Below are 20264 nucleotides of genomic sequence, written 5' to 3'. Positions count from 1 at the left end.
TTTCTAGCCTCCAGAATTGTGAGAGAGTAAATATCTGTCATTTGAAGCTACCCAGTTTGTGGTAATTTGTTAGGGCAGCCCTAGGAAACAATAACAAAAGCACAAAGACTTGTTCAAGACTGTTCTAATCAGCTTTATTTATAACAGCACCAAACTGGAAATAACCTAAATGTCCATCAACAAATGTACAAATTGTAAAATAGTCACACAATGGAATACTACTCAATTATAAAAATGAAAGAATGATTGAGACACAAAACAAGGATGAAATCTCAAAATGATTATGCTGAATAAAACAAATCAGACCAAAAAAAAAAGTATATATTGTATGATTCCATAGTGGTTGCCTGGGGATGGCAGGGCAAGGGAGTCATTACAAAATGGCATGAGGAAACTTTTGGGGGTGATCCATATGTTCATTATCTTGATTGCAGTGACAGTTCCACAGGTATATACATATGACAAAACTCATAAAGTTGTACACTTTAAATATCTGCTGTTTACTGTATGTCAAATATACTGCAATAAAACTATAGTTGAAAAATCAAAATATTCCTGGGCACGGTGGCTCACACCTGTAATCCCAGAACCTTAGGAGGCCAAGGCAGGAGAATCACTTGAGCCCAGGAGCTCAAGACCAGCCTGAGCAACACAGTGAGACCCTATCTCTAATTTTAACAACAAAACCAAAAGGACTTGTATGAAAAATCAGTATCTTTGGCCGGGCATGGCGGCTCATGCCTGTAATCCCAGCACTTCGGGAGGCTGAGGTGGGTGGATCACTTTTGGTCAGGAGTTCGACACCAGCCTAGCCAACATGGTAAAACCCCGTCTCTACAAAAAATACAAAAATTAGCCAGGCATGGTGGTATGCACCTGTAGTCCCAGCCACTCGGGAGGCTGAGGCAGGAGACTCATGTGAACCCAGGAGACAGAGGGTGCAGTGAGCCCAGATGGCACCACTGTACTCCAGCCTGAGCGACAGAGGGAGACTCCGTCTAAAAAAAAAAAATCAATATCTTTAGTGGCTGAGGTCCAGGTAGCAGTTTTAAACACTTCCCAAGTATTCTAACCAGCAGCCACAGTTGAAAGCCGCTACATTAGAGGGTGTCATCTAATTTACTTTGTTTTGAACAACAGTACTATTTGGGGAAAACATATAAGCCTAAAATAACTTTTATAATGCTCATTTTAGGTGTTTATGGAGGTCAGTTGGCAAAATTTTTTTAAGTAGATTTAATAATTTAATAATTATTTAATAATTTATTCCTTTAATAATTATTCCTTGGTTTATACCTCATATTCTCAAATTATAAGCAAGCTTTAGAAAGCAACATTGAAGGCAGATCCAGCTATTTGTCAACTAGATGTTTCTAATGTTCCTAACACAAAATAATTTAAAATGCTGAATATAATATAGTTTTATTAACGCATATTTACAATGAACGGTATTACGGACTGACTTGTGTCCACTCACCAAATTCATATGTTGAAGTCTCAGCCCATAGTATTTCAGAATGTGACTGTATTTGGAGATAGGCCTTTAAAGAGGTAATTAAGGTAAAATAAGGTCATAAGGATGGGCCCTAATCAAATCTGATGGGTGTCCTTATAAGAGGAAATTTGTACATACAAAGATGATACCAGGAATACACCAGAGGAAGGCCATGTGAAGATACCACAAGAAGGTAGCCATCGGCAAGCCAAAGAGAGAGGGATCAAGAGAAACCAAAGCTGACAACACCTTGATCTTGGACTTCTAGAATCCAGAATGGTGAGAAAATGAATTTCTGCTGTTAAAGCCACCTGGTTTGTGGTATTTGCAATAGCAGCTTTAGCAAATTAATACAAATGGTGAGGAAAAAAAACAACCAACCAACCAAAACAAAACCAACACACACATGTACATGCACGAAGAGACAACCAGTCCCTGGAATCCTCTCATATAGTGCTCTTTGGCCTTCCTCCCTTTCCTATCTGGCCTGGACCCCATGCAGACCATGTTAACTACTTTGTCAGAATCGCCTTCTCTTGCTCTCTATCATGTGCCACATCTAACCAACAAAACCCAAACTCTGGACCAACGCTACCCTTTGTCTTTACTACCTCTGCTCTTGGTGAGCCAAGCTCTGTTGGAAATATATTAAATCACACAATCACACAGAGTAATGTCTACAGATTCACAGATTCAAACCTCAGCACCCACCCTCTGCCATAATCCTTCTGCCTTGAGTTAGCATCTTGACATCCCCTCAAGAACCATTCCAAACCTTCCCCACTCTCTCTAGTACTCTACTTGACTCTCATCTCTCTCATCTTGTATACCACTTAACACAGCAGGTATCATTTCTCTCAATGTTCCCTCTTTCTACCAATTTATCATCCACACCCATCTTCACTTTCTTTTCTACAGCCTCAAATGATATTTCCTTCATTTCCAACCTCCACATTTGTGCTCTTTTTGGCAACCCCTGCTACTTTTACTCAGCAATATTCCTTTTTCTCTCCTACATATCCTGTATACTCAATATTTTTTATCTCTATTGATACCTTTTCTTCATCCTCCAAACAGGCACAAGCCTATCTCTCTAAACCCTCCCTTGACTCCACCATCCTCTAGCCACCACTATATCATCTTTCTAATTTTCATGTAAACTTCTTAAAATTAGAGTTTACACTCAATGGGTATTCACTCAGCTGCTATAACCTGGCTGAATTTGGCCCCCATTAAACTACTGAAACTGTTCTTCCCAAGGTCATCAATGATTTCTTAGTTGCCAAATCCAATGTATCCCTTCAGTCCACACCTTAACAAATCTCTAGTGTATTGCACTCTGTTTTGATATTTGTGACACTGTACTGAATAGATTCTTTCTGCCTTGTTCTGACTGTTCTATCTAATATATGAAACTTCTTCTCTGACCTTCCTTCCTATGCTGGTGTTCCCCATCCCACCCCCACCAAGTTGTGAATTGAGCCCACTACTGTTCTCACTGTTTTCCTGGATGAGCTCAGGCACTCTTCGCATTTAACCTATTACTATTATGTGATGGTCCCCAAACCTCCAGCATTAACTCTCCCCTGTAAGCTGGAACCCAAGTCCTGGATCTTCTGCTGACATTAAAACCCAATATGGGCCAGGTGCGGTGGCTCACACCTGTAATCCCAGCACTTTGGGAGGCCGAGGTGGGTGGATCACCTGAGGCTGGGAGTTCGAGACCAGCCTCACCAATATGGAGAAACCCCCGTCTCTACTAAAAATACAAAATTAGCCGGGTGTGGTGGTGCATGCCTGTAATCCCAGCTACTCAGGCGGCTGAGACAGGAGAATTGCTTAAACCCGAGAGGCGGAGGTTGCGGTAAGCAGAGATTGCGCCATTGCACTCCAGCCTGGGCAACAACAGCGAAACTCTGTTTCAAAAAAAAAACCAAAAAAACAAAAAAACCCGTTGTCGGATATTCAATTATCTTCTCCTCATACCTGTTCTTGGTAGATGGCATCTTTCCAGGGTGACAAAAGAAAAGGAATTAGGGAGTGAGAGTTTGTTCACCCCATCACCCAAGCCGAAAACCTGAACATCATCCTGTCTTCTCCCATCACTGCAGCCAAACCAAATGGTGAAATTTTTATCTCCTAAAATGTTCTCAAAGCTGAGCTGGTCCTTCTCTACCCTTATTCTGGCTTTCATTTCCCTCATCATCCCACACCTGGACCACTCAGCAGCCGTCTGACTCAACTCCAGTGCCTCAATCTTATCCTTTTCAACTCCTTTTTCCAACCAGCTGCCAGAGAGGTCTCTCTAAAATATACATATCATACTTTTGCTTAAAACACTTTTTTTTTTTTTTTTTGAGACAGAGTCTTGCTCTGACGCCCAGGCTGGAGTGCAGTGGCATGATCTCAGCTCACTGCAACCTCCGCCTCCCAGGTTCCAGCGATTCTTCTGCCTCAGCCTCCTTAGTAGCTGGGACTACAGGTGCACGCCACCACGACCAGCTAATTTTTGTATTTTTAGTAGAGACGGGGTTTTCCCATATTGCCCAGGCTGGTCTCAAACTCCTGACTTCATGATCTGCCCGCCTCGGCCACCCAAAGTGCTGGGATTACAGGCATAAGCCACTATGCCCGGCCTGCTTAAAACACGTTAATGGCTCCCCAGAACCTATGACAATGTTTCTTAATAATAGCTGCTCATTATCCTATAGTATGCTATAGGACCAACCAATGAGAAAGGAGAGGCCCTCTCCTGGATGCCACTGCTCCTTCACACTCATTACTTCTCCAGAGGTTTATGATATTCATTGATACCAGGGATCAGCAATTTTTTTCTGTTAAGGGCCAAATGGTAAATATTTCAGGCTCTGTAGGCCACATGTTCTCCTTTATATCTACTCAACTCTGCAGGACAAAAGTACCATAGACAGAGGAGAAGGGGTGGAGCAAGAAGGCAGAATAAAAGGCTCCACTGATCGTCCACTTGCAAGGACACCAATTTAACAACTATCTACACATGTAAAAAAAGCACCTTCAAAAGAACCAAAAATCAGGTGAGGACTCACAGTACCTGGTTTTAACTTTGTATCACTGAAAGAGGCACTGAAGAGGTAGGAAAAACAGTCTTGAATCACCACTGCCATTCCTCTCCCATCCCCCTGCAGCAGCAATGTGGTGCAGAGAAAGACTCTGAGTGTTTGGGAGAGGGAGAGTGCAGCAATTGTGAGACACTGCATTGAACTCAGTGCTGCCCTGTTATAGCAGAAAGCAAAAATAGAACAAACTCAGCTGATACCCACCCACAGAAGGGGCATTTAAACTAGCTCTAGCCAGAGGGAAATTGCCCATCCCAGTGGTTGAAACTGGAGTTCCCACAAGCCTCACCACCATGGGCCAAAGTGCTCCAGGCCCGTAAATAAATTTGAAAGGCAGTCTAAGCCACAAGGATTGCAACTCTTAGGTGAGTCCTAGTGGTGAACTGGGCTCAGAGCCAGTGGACTGGTAGGGGCATGTGACCTACTGAGACGATAGCTAGGGGAGTACTGGTGCCATACCTCCCCTAAGCCCAGGCCGCACATCTCACAGTCTCCTAAACAGACCCACTCCTTCTACTTGAGAAGAGATGGAAGAGTGGGGAGGACTTTGTCTTGCATCTTGGACACCAGCTCAGCTACAGCAGGATGGGGTACCGGTCAGAGTCATGAGACACCCCCTTTTCTAGGCCCTAGCTCCTGGACATTTCTAGACACACTCTGAGCCAGAAGGGAACTCACTGCCTTGAAGGGAAGAACCCAATCATGGAAGGATTCATCACCTGCTAACTGAAGAGCCCTTGGGCCCTGAATAAGCAGCAGCAATATCCAGGTAGTACATCATGGGCCTTGAGTGAGACTCTGATATTGCTAGCTTCAGGTACCACCTCAGCCAGAGGTGGGTAGAGCACTAAGGGTGAGTCCCAGGCCAGGCAGCATGCACCACAAGCTGACTGAAGAGCCTTTCGGCCTTATGAGAACATCAGTGGGAGCCTGGCAGAACTCCCTGTGGGCTGGTGGTGGCGGTGGCCACACGGTGGGGCTCCTCTGCTTTTGGAAACGGGAGGGAAGAGTGGGAAGAACTGTGTCTTATCATTTGAATGCCAGCTCAGCCACAATACAACAGAACACCAGGTAGACTTCTAAGATTTTTGACTCTACTCCCTGGCTCCCAAATGGCACTTCTGGACCTGCTGAGGCCTGGGGGAACTTGTCGCCCTGAAGGGAAGAACACAGGCCTGGCTGGCTTTACCAACTGCTGATTGTAGTGCCCCAGGGCCTTGAGTGAACACAGACAGTAGCCAGGGAGTAGTTAAGCAGGCTTTGGGCAAGATCCAGTGCTCTGCTGGCTTCAGGTCTGGCCCAGCACAGTTCTAGTGGTGGTGGCCACAAGGGTATTTGTGTGACTACGTCCTCAGCTCCAGGTGGCTCAGAATGAGAGGGAGAGACTGTTTGTTTAGGAAAAAGTAAGGGAAGAGAACAAGAGCTTCTGCCTAGTAATCCAGAGAATTCTCCCTGATCTTGTTCAAGGCCATGAAGGCAGTACCTCTTACCACAGCATTACTGGGCTTTGGCTGCCCCCTAAAGCACATACAACTTAGATCACAACACCCAAGTCCTTTTAAGTATCTGGAAAGCCTTCTCAGGAAGGAAAGGTACAAACAAGCCCAGACTGCAAAGACTACAATAAATACCTAACTCTTCAATGCCCAGACATGGTATCAAGACCATCCAGGAAAACAGGACATCACAAAATGAACTAAATAAGGCAGCAGGGAACAATACTGGAGAAACAGATGTGTGACCTTTCAGACAGAGAATTCAAAATAGCTCTACTGAGTAAACTCAAAGAAATTCAAGATAACCCAAGAAGGAATTCAGAATTCTACCAGATAAATTTAACAAAGAGATTGAAAAAAAATTAAAAAGAATCAAGCAGAAATTCTGAAGCTGAAAAATGTAACTGGCATGCTGAAGAATGCATCAGAGTCCTTTAACAGCAGAAGGGATCACACAGAAGAATTAGTGAGATTGAAGACAGGCTATTTGAAAATACACAGTTAGGGCTGGGCATGGTAGCTCACGCCCGTAATCCCATCACTTTGGGAGGCCAAGTGGGCAGATCATGAGGTCAGGAGTTCGAGACCAGCCTGGCCAACATGGTGAAACCCCATCTCTACTAAAAATACAAAAATTAGCTGGGCGTGGTGACGTGAACCTGTAATCCCAGCTACTCAAGAGGCTGAGGCAGGATAATCGCTTGAACCTGGGAGGCAGAGGTTGCAGTGAGCCAAGATCATGCCATTGCACTCCAGCCTGGGCAACAGAACAACACTCCGTCTCAAAAAAACAAAACAAAACAAAACAAAACAAAACAAAAAAACACTAACTCAAAGCATTGAATGATCAAACTTACTTTCCTTCCTTCTTCCTTCTTCCTTCCCTTTCCTTTGCTTTGCTTTCCTTTCCTTTCCTTCTTCCCTTTTTTTTTTTTTTTTGATGGAGTCTCACTCTGTCGCCCAGGCTGGAGTACTGTGGCGCAATCTTGGCTCACTACAACCTCCGCTTCACGGGTTCAAATGATTCCCCTGCTTCAGCCTCCCGAGTAGGTAGGATTACAGGCACGCACCACCATTTCCAGCTAATTTTTTTTTATTTTTAGTAGAGACAGGGTTTCACCATGTTGGCCAGGCTGGTCTTAAACTCCTAAACTCAGGTGATTCACACCCACCTCGGCCTCCCAAAGTGCTGGGATTACAGGCGTGAGCCACAATGCCTGGACGAATAATCCAACTTTCTTTTTTTTCTTGTTTTTTATTTTTTTGAGATGGAGATTTGCTCTTGTTGCCCAGGCTGGAGTGCAGTAGTGTGACCTTGGCTCACCGCAACCTCCGGCTCCCAGGTTCAAACGATTCTCCTGCCTCAGCCTCCTACGTAACTGGAATTACAGAGGCCCGCCACCACGCCTGGCTAATTTTTATATATTTTGTAGAGACGGGGTTTCACCACGTTGGCCAGGCTGGTCTCGAACTCCTGACCCCAGCTGATCCACCCACCTCAGCCTCCCAAAGTGCTGGGATTACAAGTGTGAGCCACCACACCCAGTTGAATAATCCAACCTTCAACGGATAAAGAAAGGATTGGGGCTGGGCGCAGTGGCTCATGCCTGTAATTCCAGCACTTTCGGAGGCCGAGGCGGACGGATCACCTCAGGTCAGGAGTTCGAGACCAGCCTGGCCAACATGGTGAAACCCGTCGCTACTAAAAATACAAAAATTAGCCAGGCGTGGTGGCAGGTGCCTGTAATCCCAGCTACTTGGGAGGCTGAGGCAGGAGAATCACTTGAACCTGGGAGGCGGAGGTTGCAGTGAGCCAAAATAGCACCACTGCACTCCAGCCTAGGGGACAAGAGTGAGATTTCTTCTCAAAAAAAGAAAAAAAGAAAGGATTGGCTAGGTGTGGTGGCTCACACCTATCTATAATCCCAGCACTTTGGGAGGCTGAGGCAGGCGAATCACCTGAGGTCAGGAGTTCGAGATCAGCCTGGCTAACATAGTGAAACCCTGTCTCTACTAAAAATATAAAAATTAGCTGGGTATGGTGGCAGATGCCTGTAATCCCAGCTACTCGGAAGGCTGAAGAAGGAGAATCGCTTGAACCCAGGAGGTGGAGGTTGCAGTGAGCCGAAATAGCACCACTGCACTCCAGCCTGGGTGACAGAGCAAGACTCTGTCTCAAAAAAAAAAAAAACCAAAAAGCAACTAGAGAAAAAAACAAATAACATACAATGGAGCTAAAATACATCTGGCAGCAGACTTTTCAGTGGAAACCTTACAGGCCAGGAAAGAATGGCATGACATATTTAAAGTGCTGAAGGAAAAACACTTTTACCCCAGAATAGTATATGCAGTGAAAATATCCTTCAGACATGAAGGAGAAATAAAGACTTTCCCAGACAAACAAAAGCTGAGAGATTACATCAACACCAGACCTATCCTACAATAAATGCTAAGGAGTACTTCAATCAGAAAGAAAAGGATGGCCAGCTGTGGTGGCTCATGCCTGTAATTCCAGCACTTTGGGAGGCCGAGGTGGGTGGATCACCTGAGGTCAGGAGTTCAAGACCAGCCTGGTCAACATGGTGAAACCCCGTCTCTATTAAAAATACAAAAACTAGCCAGGTCTGGTGGTGCACGCCTATAATCCTAGCTATTCAGAGGCTGAGGCAGGAGAATCACTTGAACCCAGGAGGCGGAGGTTGCAGTAAGCTGAGATCGCGCCATTGCACTCCAGCCTGGGCGACAGAGTGACTGCCTCAAAAAAAAAGAAGAAGAAGAAAAGGACCGTTACTCTGGTGACTCACGCCTATAATTCCAGCACTTTGGGAGGCCAAGGTGGGAAGATCACTTGAGCCCAAGAGTTTGAGACCAGCCTGGGCAGCATAGTAAGACCCTGTCTCTATATTTAAAAAAAAAAAATGGCAGAAAGAAAAGGACATAGGCCGGGTGCAGTAGCTCACACCTGTAATCCCAGCATTTTGGGAGGCCGACGCAGCTGGATAAAGTAAGGTTGGGAGTTCGAAACCAGCCTGGCCAACATGGTGAAACCCTGTCTCTACTAAAAATACAAAAATTAGCCGGGTCTGGTGGAGGGTACCTGTAATCCTAGCTACTTGGGAGGGTAAGACTCAAGAATCACTTGAACCCAGTGGGGGCGGAGGTTGGAGTGAGCTGAGATCGTGCCACTCCATTCCAACCTGGGCGACAGAGTGAGACTCCATCTCAATGAAAAAAAAAAAGAAAAGGACATTAATGAGCAATAAGAAATCATCTGAGGGTACATAACTCACTGTTAATAATAAGTACACAAAAAGACATAGTATATTATAACACTGTAACTATGGTGTGTAAACTAAAACTACTCTTATCTTTAGAAAGACTAAACAATGAGTTTAGTGAGGCAGTGCCTTACGCCTGTAATCCCAGCAGTTTGGGAGGCCGAGGCGGGCAAATCATGAGGTCAGGAGATCAAGACCATCCTGGTTAACATGGTGAAGCCCCGTCTCAACTAAAAAATACAAAAAAATTAGCCGGGCATGGTGGCGGGCACCTGTAGTCCCAGCTACTCGGGAGGCTGAGGCAGAAGAATCACTTGAACCTGGGGGGCAGAGGCTGCAGTGAGCTGAGATTGTGCCACTGCACCCCAGCCTAGGCAACAGAGCGAGACTCCGTCTCAAAAAAAAAAAAAAAAAAGAAAGTCTAAACAATGAACCAATCAAAAATAATAACGACTATAACTTTTCAAGACATTGATAGTACAGTAAGATATAAATAGAAACAATAAAAAGTTAAAAAGCAGGGAGACAAAGTAAAGGTGTAGAGTTTTTATTAGTTTTCTTTTTGCTTGTTTGTTTATACAGTGTTAAATTATTATCAGCTTAAAATAATAGGCTATAGTTAAGTATTAGTGAGCCTCATGGTAACCTCCAATCAAAAAACATACAAGGCTGGGCACGGTGGCTTACGCCTATAATCCCAGCACTTTGGGAGGCTGAGGAAGGCAGATCATGAGGTCAGGAGTTCGAGGCCAGCCTGACCAACATGGTGAAACCCTGTCTGTACTAAAAATACAAAAAAAAAAATTTGCTGGGCATGGTGGTGTGCGCCTGTAATTCCAGTTACTCAAGAGGCTGAGGCAGGAGAATCTCCTGAACCCAGGAGGTGGAGGATGCAGCGAGCCAAGATCGCACCACGGCACTCTAGCCTGGGCGACAGAGCAATACTCCATCTCAAAAAAAAAAAAAGAAAAATACAACAGATACACAAAAAATAAAAAGCAAGAAACTAAATTATATCACCAGAGAAAATCATCTTCACTAAAGGGAAGAAAGGAAGGAAAAAATAAGACCACAAAACAACCAGAAAACAAAATGGCAGGACTAAGTCCTTACTTATCAATAATAACATTAAATGTATCTAGGCACGGTGGGATATAACAAAAGCAGCTATAAGTGCCTATATCAAAACAGAAGAAAAACTTAAAATAAACAACCTAAATATGCATCTTTTTTTTTTGAGATGGAGTTTCACTCTTGTTGCCCAAGCTGGAGTGCAATGGCGTGATCTCGGCTCACTTCAACCTCCGCCTCCTGGGTTCAAGCGATTCTCCTGCCTCAACCTCACGAGTAGCTGGGATTACCAGCGTGCGCCGCCATGCCCAGCTAATTTTTTTTTTTTTTTTGTATTTTTAGTAGAAACGGGGTTTCACTATGTTAGCCAGGCCGGTCTCGAACTCCTGACCTCAGGTGATCCACCAGCCTTGGTCTCCCAAAGTGCTGGGATTACAGGCATGAGCCATCGCGCCCGGCCAAATATGCGTCTTAAAGAACTAGAAAAGCAAGAGTAAACCAAACCCAAAATGGAGAGACTAAATAATAAAGATCAGAGTAGAAATAAATGAAATTGGAATTAAGAAAACCATACAAAAGATCATGAAACAAAAAGTTGGTTTTTTGAAAAGTTAAACAAAATTGATAAACCTTTAGCCAGACTAAGAAAAAAGGAGAGAAGACCCAAATAAAATCAGAGATGAAAAAGAAGACATTACAACAAATACTGCAGAAATTCAAAGGATCATTAGTGGCTACTATGAGCAACCATATGCCAATAAATTGGAAAACCTACAGGAAATGGCCAAATTCCTAGACAGATTCAATATATTAAGACTGAACCATGAAGAAATAAAAAACATGAAGAGACCAATAACAAGTAACGAGATCGAAGCCATAATAAAAAGTCTCCCAGCAAAGAAAAGCCCAGGACCTGACGGCTTCACTGCTCAATTCTACCAAACATTTAAAGAATAATAGCAATCCTATTCAAACTATTCCAAAAAATAGAGGAGGGAAGACTTCCAAACTCATTCCATGAGGCTAGTGTTACCTTGATACCAAAACCAGACAAAGACACAGCAAAAAAAAAACCCAAAAAACAACAAAAAAAAAACAAAAAACTACAGGCCAATATCTCTGATGAATATTGATGCAAAAATCCTCAACAAAATACTAGCATACCAAATTCAACAATACATTAAAAAGATCATTCATCATCACCAAGTGAGATTTATCCCTGAGACGTAAGGATGGTTCAATATACACAAATCAGTTAACGTGATACTAAGAAAATCTGTAAATAATCTTAAGTTACTCTAAACTCTCTTGACTAGAAAAGTTGTGAGAAACTACAATGTTTTCATGGCAGTCTACTTGAACATAGTTTTCTGGAAGCACTTACAGAAAGAATAAGCATCTTTTTAGTTTAAGTGCACTTATTATGCCCCAGTATAATAGGATTGACTTCAACAGATGATGGTCTAACCCAATTATTCTACGAAATTCTAAAGCAATCTCTCCGAAAGGTTGGCAATTGTAGTCAGCAGGCCAAATCCAGCCTACTGCTTGTTTTCATGAATAAAGTTTACTGGAACACAGCCATGTCTATTCATTTATGTATTATCTATGGATGTCTTAACTACAACAGCAGAGTTGAAAAGTTGCAACAGGGACCGATGACCTACAAAGCCTAAAATATTTAGTATCTGGCATTTTACAAAAATTGCTAACCCCTGCTCTAGACAAGCAATCCAAGAAGAAATAAAACTTGTTAGACTCACCTGAGGTGTTGTCTTTCTGTACTGGTCACCTCCATCTATCACATCCCTCATGATTTTTCCCTTAAGACATTCATATTCTTCTGGACTCAGCTGAATAGACTCTATGGTTTTTCCACAGCCCGAACACTGGCCACTGTAATTATAATTGTTAAATAATAATATTTAAATATGTCGAATAATGTTCTGGGGAAAAAAATTTGTGAAATGAACAATGAGGAAATTAAAAGGTAATAAAAAAGAACATTAAAACCTTTGTGATAATCACATACATCTAATTTTTTGTAAACCTGATAATATCACAAATTAGTGTGCCAGAAAACCCAAAAAAGTAGATTGGCCGTTTGGATGACTTTTTTTTTTTTGAGACAGGGTCTTGTATTTTTAGTGGAGACTTGGTTTCAACATGTTGGCCAGGATGGTCTCGAATCTCCTGACCTCGTGATCTGCCTGCCTCGGCCTCCCAAAGTGCTGGGATTACAGGCGTGAGCCACCGCGCCCAGCTCAGATGACATTTTTAAAGTAATTCCTATCCTCTGGAATATCATATTGGTGAATTAAATAAATAAATAAATCCTAAAACACAACTGGGTCTGGAACCTCTAGGGAAAAAACATCTCTAAGACTTCATATAGGTTCACAGTACTCACAGGAAAAACATTTTGGGCACTGCTAAGTCTCTGTATGCAAAGTATGTTTTTTTCCTCAGATACTCTAATTACAAACTTGTAATTATCCTACCCTTAAGGTGTTCTTAAATATTTTTCAATTAATAGCAACAAAACCTACTAAACCAAAATCAAACAAGTTAAAAATAAACATTGGTCTTCACCTTTTTCGGACTGTGGTGAATTGTCCTTTCCATTGTTTTCCAGGAACACTATGAAAAGATTGCAAAACCAAATCATGAGAAGGTTAGATTCCTACTGAAATGAAAGATATTCATGGTATTTGGAAACTCTTATAAGCAAGAAGTCCGAAAAGTTCAAGATACTTCTGTAGAATGGTTTAATTTAAAAAGTGGCTGCTATCCTGGATGGGGTTAAGAAGCTGCTGGTACTCTGCTCTGGATCTCCTTCTTCCCTGTGGTTCTCCTCCCAACAAATAACTCTCATCTTCAAGTCTACCAAAAGCGGCTGACCTTAGTAGCATAACCTCTAAACCAAACTCAACTCTTACCTTCTCCATAAAGCTGCCAGAAATTGCTCCTGCCGAGAGTAATTTACCTCTTACACACCACTGTTATTTCACTGTGTGGTACTGTATTCCCAATTAAATTGAGAATGTCATAATAGATTTTATAAAACACTCGCAATGCCTAGCCTATTTGGAAGCATTCAAAAACTATGTATTGATGTATTTGTTCAATCAATGTATCCTTTCCTCCTTCCCCTTCCACATATTACCATCAGTTCTTATGATTCTACTGCCTTCTCTCCTTCCTCAGTTCTTAATTCTCATCATCTCTCACCTAAACCTAAAATTGTATTCACGCAGATCTCCCTGTTTTCAATCTTAATCCCTCTCCTATCTACTCTTCTCACTTGGCAACTGCCTTTGTAAAACTCCATTCCAGCATTATTTTTTTCTTTTGAGACAAGGTCTTGCTCTGTCGCCCAGGTTGGAGTGCATGGCGCCATCACAGCTCCCTGCAGCCTTGATTGACTCCCTAGATTCAAGTGATCCTCTTGCTTCAGCCTCCCAAGTAGCTAGGACTACCGGCACACACCGCCATGCCAAGCTAATTTTTGTATTATTTGTAGAGACAGGGTTTCACCATGCCCAGGCTGGTCTCCAACTCCTGGCCTCAAGCTATCCTCCCACCTCAGTCTCTAAAAGTGCTCAGATTACAGGCGTGAGCCACAGCACCCAGCCAAATCCAGCATTCTTGATAACAGAATAAAATCCAAACTCCTTGGTATTCAAAGATTTTCACAAATGGGCTCCTCCTCCCTTGATCTTCAGTAAGTTTAAGATAATTAAGCATAATTACTGCTTCAAAGCTCCGTAAACATGATATAGGGGAAAAAAAGGCAAGAGAAAAACAGAGGGAAGGAACAAATTTTTAGGAAGCAAATTAATGAAGAAATAATGACTAAGCATGGTGGCTCACACCTGATCGCTTGAGGCCAAGAGTTTGAGTCCAGCCTGGTCAACACAGCAAGACCCCACCTCTTAAAAAAAGAATATTAATTTTAAAAAATAAGTAAAAATTTTCAAAAATTTTAAAAAAGACTAAAGCAATAAACAGGTATGTACCCAGTAACATGAATAAAGCAAAAGCAAACCAAAGGAGAGAGCTTTAGAGAGACAGCAGCCAAATGATAGAAAGGTCCAAAACAAACTGGAAGGGTTAAGATTTTCCATTGTAATGCTTACGTATAAGGCTTGATCAATATCCCCCTGTCCACTCTAATCATCCAAGTTGATGAACTATAGATAGTAGACAGAATAGGCCGGACGCGGTGGTTCACGCCTGTAATCCCAGCACTTTGGGAGGCCGAGGCAGGCGGATCACCTGAGGTAGTTCGAGAGCAGCCTGACCAACATAGAGAAACCCCGTCTCTACTAAAAAGAAAATAGAAAATTAGCAGGGCATGGTGGCGCATGCCTGTAATCCCAGCTACTCGGGAGTGTGAGGCAGGAGAAAACCCGGGAGGCAAAGGTTACAATGAGCCGAGATCATGCCATTGCACTCTAGCCTGGCAACAAGAGCAAAACTCCGTCTCAAAAAAAAAAAAAAGGGAGAGAGTAGACAGAATAAATATAAGCATATTATCTCAGTCGCTAGATTTCAGAGGAACTTCTGAAAATACTAATATGGCCAGAGACAGTTCTAGTCAAATGCTATATTCTTTTCTTGCTATGAACAGTGGCCATAAGTAGTATTAAGTACTCACATCATACTAGATGCCTAAGAAAACAAAATTAATGATCCTTCCAAAAGGAAAAAAATGTAAAAATTAAAACTGCTATATAATTTCAGTTTTATGTGATGGGTAAAGATTAGCACAAATTATGTATGTTGTTACTTTTTTTAAAGAGAGAAAATTTTGTCGTAAAGAGAAAATAAATCTTACTAAGAGATGGAAAAAAGTATAATCAGAAGAGTGATTCTCAGCAACTAACAACAAAAAAGAATGGCTACTTTGAGGTTTAAAGTTATTAAATTAAAAATAATTAGCCAGGTATGGTGGCACATGCCTGTGGTTTTAGCTACTGAGGAGACTGAAGCGAGAGGATCACTTGAGGCCAGGAGTTTGAGGTTACAGTGAGCTATGAACACACCACTGCACTCCAGTCTGGGCAACAGAGCAAGACCCTGTCTCAAAAAAAAAAAAAATTAAAGAATAAAAACATACATATAAAAAAACCAAAATTACCTCTCAAACCATGTTTTTATACTGTGTGCAAATGACTCCCCTGGATACAGCTGATTATTTCTTAGATATGAAAGAATATCTAGTAGTTTATTTGAATAGTTATCATCCTTTATGTCTTTTCCAAAATCAAAGAAAGCTTTTAAAGTTTCCAACATAGGAACAATATCATGACCTAGCAATTCCTGATATAAATTCCAAGCTGTGTTTACATCTTGATGAAGGAGAGCTCCCTGGATACAGTCATTATAGTTCTTTTTTGAAGGAGTTATAACTTTTTTGATGTCCTCTAACAGCAACAATGCTTCTCTCCATCTGTCTGAATGGATCAATCCCCGGATGAGAAGACTGTAACCTCTAGGTTCTAAAGTCTTATATCTGGCTTTCATAATTTCAAAGACATCAATAACTTCAGATGTCTGCATATGAAAGACACAGAGATACAAATACTTGACCAGTAAATCGTAACTTACAATACCATTATTTTTGGCTGCTACCCATGCCAGCAGAGATTTAGCCACATCTATAGAGCTATGACAGCCAGCCATCTGTGAAATGATCCAACTTTCGAAACTGGTCTTTCCGGTGTTTTCTTTTAAATCTTCCTTAAGTTTATCCCACTCCTCTGAATTCAAAGGTTGTGTTGGGAGTTGAATAGTGTTCCTCACAGGTGCCAAGGCATGATCTTCAGTTTGAGAATTCATCTGTGATCTCTCCTTAGCTGCTCCAGCTAAAAAAAAATGAGGAACAGAATAAACTTGCTTATTACTGCCCTCATCTTTCCTGAGATATCTGGCCTTGGCAATCAGATTCGTTGCTTTGGTATTCTGTGGAGACATTGTTTTAAGAGAAAACAACCTCTGCTGGTTCCTGATGCCACAGCGGTCTGCCAGAAACAGCGAGACATAAGAGTGCCCTGGGCCTAGCCCAAGGTATGGGCTCTTCCAAAGCTTCGGAAAGCTTCGAATACCAAACAAATAGAAAGTCATTATGCAGTGAGATCAGCACCAGATAGTGAGAGAGATGTTGAAAAAACCCCTCTTCTATGGCAAAATTAAAGAGATTGGGGGTCGGCGGTGCAGAGTCGAAGTGGAACTTTTTAAAAGGTTTGTGTTTCTTCCTTACAGACAAATCAAGGTTCTGCTTTTGGGGCTACTTAAAAGCAAGAAGGCAGGTGAGTTTTCTCTATTAAACAACAATCCGGGGATGTCCAACGTCGCAAGCCGCAAACCAGGGGACAGAGCAGGAATCCTCTGGTGCCTCTTACATTCCAGTTCATGAACCTGAGGAAAAAGCACAAGACGGAACGCCCAGTTTTACTCACGTGGATCACAGCTGTCCTGAAAAGGAACAGATTCCCACGGGAAGCTTGCTGGAAAGGGGGTGTAAAGCCAAAACCGTATCCAGGGACCCCCAACTCCAGCCTACCACCAACAGCGGCGAAAGCCGAAGTCTAGGGGCCCTCACCCTGCATAGCTCTCTACAGACCGCAAAACTCCTCCGGTGGGGGGACGAGGAGGGAGGAGGTGGCGAGTCAGCTGCGCCAACGACTCAGGAAAGGAAGAGAGGTACAGGAAGGGCGCTGCCTAGACTGCGTACCGAACGCTGACAAATGAAGTTCACTTCATTCAACAACTCAAAGCGGCACTCAGACTTAACGCGGCCATAAACGCGGCGGAAACTACAGTGCCCACGATGCACCGCGCCAGCCCCGACCGACGGACGAGACTGACCCGGACTTAGGCGTTCCGCCTGGCCCGGCGGCGAGGAAAAAAGGCAGTTTTGAAGCATTTAGTGGCAAAAGGGGTAGGAGACGGCTGCTGAAGTGTCTACTACATTCAGGGGACCTGGAAGGCTTCCAGATATCCGCAATGAACAATGAAAAGAAATTGTGAAAGAAGGCGCTTCCCTCAAGCCGGAACTAATGAACTCCTGGGTCACGTGGTGCGCACGCGCCAAAGGCACACGATAAAGGAAAACGCGGGCTTATCGTGGCCTTTAAAATCCGGCTTGGTGAGCTTGGGTCGCCTCTGAAGGAGAACCATTTTCCATCTCTTTCATAGTTTTTTCCCCCAGTCAGCGTGGTAGCGGTATTCTCCGCGGCAGTGACAGTAATTGTTTTTGCCTCTTTAGCCAAGACTTCCGCCCTCGATCAAGATGGTGGTTGGACGGCCTTCCTAACCTTTACGGGGCCTGGCGGTGCTGACGCCTGAGCTGGTAGGGGTGGAGCAGGTAGGAAACAGCAAATGCAGAAGCTGCTGCGCGGAAGTCGGCCATGGACTGGAAAGAAGTTCTTCGTCGGCGCCTAGCGACGCCCAACACCTGTCCAAACAGTGAGTTTTGGGAGGGGCAGCCCGTTGGGATGGCCCGGCCCTAAACTCCTAGAGGTAGGGGGGAGGTGGGGAGGAGGAGCAAGGGGGAGCCGCCTTTTCCGCTTCTGTGAAACCTCCCGACAAAGGAGGCGGAGTGGAATGTGGTTTAAGGATCCCGATAGGTTTGACCCAAACTTTCCTGGGGCAGAATCTAGAGGAACGAAAAACTTAGCTTTAGTCACTGACTTCCATGGTCTTAATCTAAACTTGTGAAGAATAACTTGGAACCCCGGCTCCAACAACGCCTGAACCCCACCAGGACCTATAATTGTCCTCCTGCCTTTTTACTGTCACGCTTTTTGCTTCCCTCGTAATCCATTTTATATTTCATAATCCATTTTTCCTTTTATTTTTCTCCTTCACATTGCTTATTAACTAACCTCGTTAAATCTACCTTTCCTATTCCACACCCGCACTAAGGGCTGTTGAAAGTGGCTGGAGAAAAACAGAACCTTGGTGAGTTGTCTCACTTTTTTTTTTGAGACGGAGTCTCTTGCTCTGTCGCCCAGGCTGGCTGGAGTGCAGTGGCAGCATCTCCGCTCACTGCAACCTCTGCCTCCCGGGTTCAAGCGGTTCTTCTGCCTCAGCCTCTGGAGTAGCTGGAACTATAAGCGCGCGCAACCACGGCCGGTTAATTTTTGTATTTCTAGTAGAGACGGGGTTTCGCCATATTGGCCAGGCTGGTCTCAAACTCCTGACCTTGTGATTCGCCCACCTCGGCCTCCCAAAGTGCTGGAATTACAGACGTGAGTCACCGCGCCCCGCCGAGTTATCTCACTTTTAATACAAGTCCACTAATCTAAAGAAGGTGTTTTGGTCATGTCTACCGTGTTTTCCTGGACGTTCATTCTCCTACATTCAATTTTCATCTCCCAAACTGCCAATCTGTGTTTTCCTAAATACACTTTTTTTTTTCCGATACAGGATCTCCCTGTGTTGCCCAGGCTGGAGTGCAGCGGCGCAGTGAAGTATTGCTGCAACCTCGATTTCCTGGGCTCAAGGGATCTTCCCACCCCAGCCTCTTGAGCAGCTAGAAGTACAGGCACACGCCACCACACCCGGCTAATTTTTTATTTTTAGTGGAGATGAGGTCTTGCTATGTTGCCTGGGCTGGTCTCGAATTCCTGGCCTCAGGCAGTCTTCCTACCTCCACCTCCCAAAGTGTTGCTATTACAGACGTGAGCCGCCGCACCCAGGCAACACTCTTTTACACTATTCTTCTCATCTCCTACACCTGCAGTCTGTCCTACCCGCTTCTTACTTTAAGCTGATGAACTTGTATTTTAATATATATCTCATTAAGAAAGGAGAAGCAGTCGGCCGGGCGCGGTCGCTCAGTCCTGTAATCCCAGCACTTTGGGAGGCCGAGGCGGGCGGATCACGAGGTCAGCAGATCGAGACCATCCTGGCTAACACGGTGAAACCCCGTCTCTACTAAAAATACAAAAAAATTACCCGGTAGTGGTGGCGGGCGCCTATAGTCCCAGCTACTCCAGAGGTTGAGGCAGGAGAATACCTTCAACCCGAGAGGCGGAGCTTGCAGTGAGCCCGAGATTGTGCCACTGCACTCCGGCCTGGGCGACCGAGCGACACTCAGTCTCAAAAAAAAAGGAGAAGCAGTCAGAGGAGAACATCACCTGTCCCCCTTAACATTTCTTTCAGCCCCACAACCCCACAGTTAGTTGCCCATACACTCTGGCTTCACTGTTAAAATGATGAACTGATGCCGGGCGCGGTGGCTCAAGCCTGTAATCCCAGCACTTTGGGAGGCCGAGGCGGGCGGATCACGAGGTCAGGAGACTGAGACCGCAGTGAAACCCCGTCTCTACTAAAAATACAAAAAATTAGACGGGTGCGGTGGCGGGCGCCTGTAGTCCCAGCTACTCAGGAGGCTGAGGCAGGAGAATGGCGTGAACCCGGGAGGCGGAGGTTGTAGTGAGCCGGAGATTGTGCCACTGCACTCCAGCCTGGGCGACAGAGCGAGACTCCGTCTCAAAAAAAAAAAAAAAAAAAGATGAACTGTCCATGCTCCTATTTAAGAGTCCCTCCAGTCCACCACTAGATTGCATTCTTTTCCCTGTATTCACTGACTTCCTTCCAGCCTCCTCCTTTCTTTCCTACATCATCAGATTTTCCTTCTGCTGGATCATTTACACCAGCACAAACGTGCTGTTAATATCACCCATCTTTTTAAAAGGTGGGTGGTCGGGGGTAGTGGTGTTGGGAGGCTCGGTGGCTCATTCATGTAACCCCAGCACTTTGGGAGGCCGAGATGGGAAGATCGCTTGAGGCCAGGAGTTTGAGACCAGCCTGGGCA

The 20264-nt window shown here is 44.0% G+C and overlaps 2 protein-coding genes and 1 long non-coding RNA gene across 17 annotated transcripts in view, besides 7 other annotated features; 1 reads left to right on the top strand and 2 right to left on the bottom strand.

Moving 5' to 3' along the window:
• The window catches only part of PRORP-PSMA6 (PRORP-PSMA6 readthrough), a 195633-nt gene extending 177662 nt beyond the window's left edge, over positions 1 to 17971 (bottom strand). The window contains exons 1-4 of one of the 4 annotated variants that reach the window (NR_182666.1): positions 17758 to 17971; positions 15579 to 16858; positions 13028 to 13075; positions 12199 to 12331 (exon numbers count right to left, since the gene is read on the bottom strand). This is a non-coding gene — a long non-coding RNA (PRORP-PSMA6 readthrough). Of the gene's footprint in view, positions 1 to 12198; positions 12332 to 13027; positions 13076 to 15578; positions 16859 to 17042; positions 17259 to 17757 lie in introns of those variants that run through there. The other 3 variants (NR_182669.1, NR_182668.1, NR_182667.1) reach the window with 3 other exon arrangements.
• PRORP (protein only RNase P catalytic subunit) overlaps positions 1 to 17971 on the bottom strand; it is a 155784-nt gene extending 137813 nt beyond the window's left edge. Inside the window, exons 1-4 of one of the 6 annotated variants that reach the window (NM_001414503.1) lie at positions 17758 to 17971; positions 15579 to 16858; positions 13028 to 13075; positions 12199 to 12331 (exon numbers count right to left, since the gene is read on the bottom strand). In NM_001414503.1, the coding sequence (NP_001401432.1) occupies positions 12199 to 12331; positions 13028 to 13075; positions 15579 to 16564 (1167 nt within the window). In that variant the 5' untranslated portion in view covers positions 16565 to 16858; positions 17758 to 17971. Of the gene's footprint in view, positions 1 to 12198; positions 12332 to 13027; positions 13076 to 15578; positions 16859 to 16899; positions 17259 to 17757 lie in introns of those variants that run through there. The other 5 variants (NM_014672.4, NM_001256679.2, NM_001256680.2 and 2 more) reach the window with 5 other exon arrangements.
• Positions 16358 to 17277: an enhancer, noted in NCBI's record as "NANOG-H3K27ac-H3K4me1 hESC enhancer chr14:35591739-35592658 (GRCh37/hg19 assembly coordinates)". NCBI's record gives its function as "activates a minimal SCP1, AML or CMV promoter by ChIP-STARR-seq in primed H9 embryonic stem cells {active_cell/tissue: H9 hESC(primed)}" and the evidence as "EXISTENCE:reporter gene assay evidence [ECO:0000049][PMID:30033119]".
• Positions 16765 to 17274: an enhancer, noted in NCBI's record as "active region_8265". NCBI's record gives its function as "activates an Ori minimal core promoter by ATAC-STARR-seq in GM12878 lymphoblastoid cells {active_cell/tissue: GM12878}" and the evidence as "EXISTENCE:reporter gene assay evidence [ECO:0000049][PMID:35858748]".
• Positions 17278 to 18197: an enhancer, noted in NCBI's record as "NANOG-H3K27ac-H3K4me1 hESC enhancer chr14:35590819-35591738 (GRCh37/hg19 assembly coordinates)". NCBI's record gives its function as "activates a minimal SCP1, AML or CMV promoter by ChIP-STARR-seq in primed H9 embryonic stem cells {active_cell/tissue: H9 hESC(primed)}" and the evidence as "EXISTENCE:reporter gene assay evidence [ECO:0000049][PMID:30033119]".
• Positions 17278 to 18616: a biological region, named in NCBI's record as "MED14-independent group 3 enhancer GRCh37_chr14:35590400-35591599".
• Positions 17285 to 17364: an enhancer, noted in NCBI's record as "active region_8264". NCBI's record gives its function as "activates an Ori minimal core promoter by ATAC-STARR-seq in GM12878 lymphoblastoid cells {active_cell/tissue: GM12878}" and the evidence as "EXISTENCE:reporter gene assay evidence [ECO:0000049][PMID:35858748]".
• Positions 17417 to 18616: an enhancer, noted in NCBI's record as "MED14-independent group 3 enhancer chr14:35590400-35591599 (GRCh37/hg19 assembly coordinates)". NCBI's record gives its function as "activates an origin of replication core promoter dependent on BRD2, BRD4, P300/CBP and CDK7 cofactors, and independent of MED14, by STARR-seq in HCT116 cells {active_cell/tissue: HCT116}" and the evidence as "EXISTENCE:reporter gene assay evidence [ECO:0000049][PMID:35650434]".
• Positions 17512 to 20264, top strand: part of PPP2R3C (protein phosphatase 2 regulatory subunit B''gamma) — a 36827-nt gene continuing 34074 nt past the window's right edge. For 4 of the 7 annotated variants that reach the window (NR_130972.2, NM_001305156.2, XM_005267782.5 and 1 more), the window contains exons 1-2: positions 17512 to 17588; positions 17709 to 17908. Coding sequence is in view for 3 of the 7 variants with exons in the window: in XM_005267782.5 (XP_005267839.1) it covers positions 17851 to 17908 (58 nt within the window). In the remaining 4 variants the exon portion in view is untranslated. Of the gene's footprint in view, positions 17589 to 17708; positions 17909 to 18981; positions 18984 to 20264 lie in introns of those variants that run through there. The other 3 variants (NM_001305155.2, NM_017917.4, XM_024449638.2) reach the window with 2 other exon arrangements.
• Positions 17905 to 18034: an enhancer, noted in NCBI's record as "active region_8263". NCBI's record gives its function as "activates an Ori minimal core promoter by ATAC-STARR-seq in GM12878 lymphoblastoid cells {active_cell/tissue: GM12878}" and the evidence as "EXISTENCE:reporter gene assay evidence [ECO:0000049][PMID:35858748]".

Source organism: Homo sapiens, chromosome 14, assembly GCF_000001405.40.
Source record: "Homo sapiens chromosome 14, GRCh38.p14 Primary Assembly".
Lineage (NCBI taxonomy): Eukaryota > Metazoa > Chordata > Mammalia > Primates > Hominidae > Homo > Homo sapiens.
The sequence above is the reverse complement of the archived record's forward strand: the minus strand, read 5'-3'. Positions and strand labels throughout refer to the sequence as shown.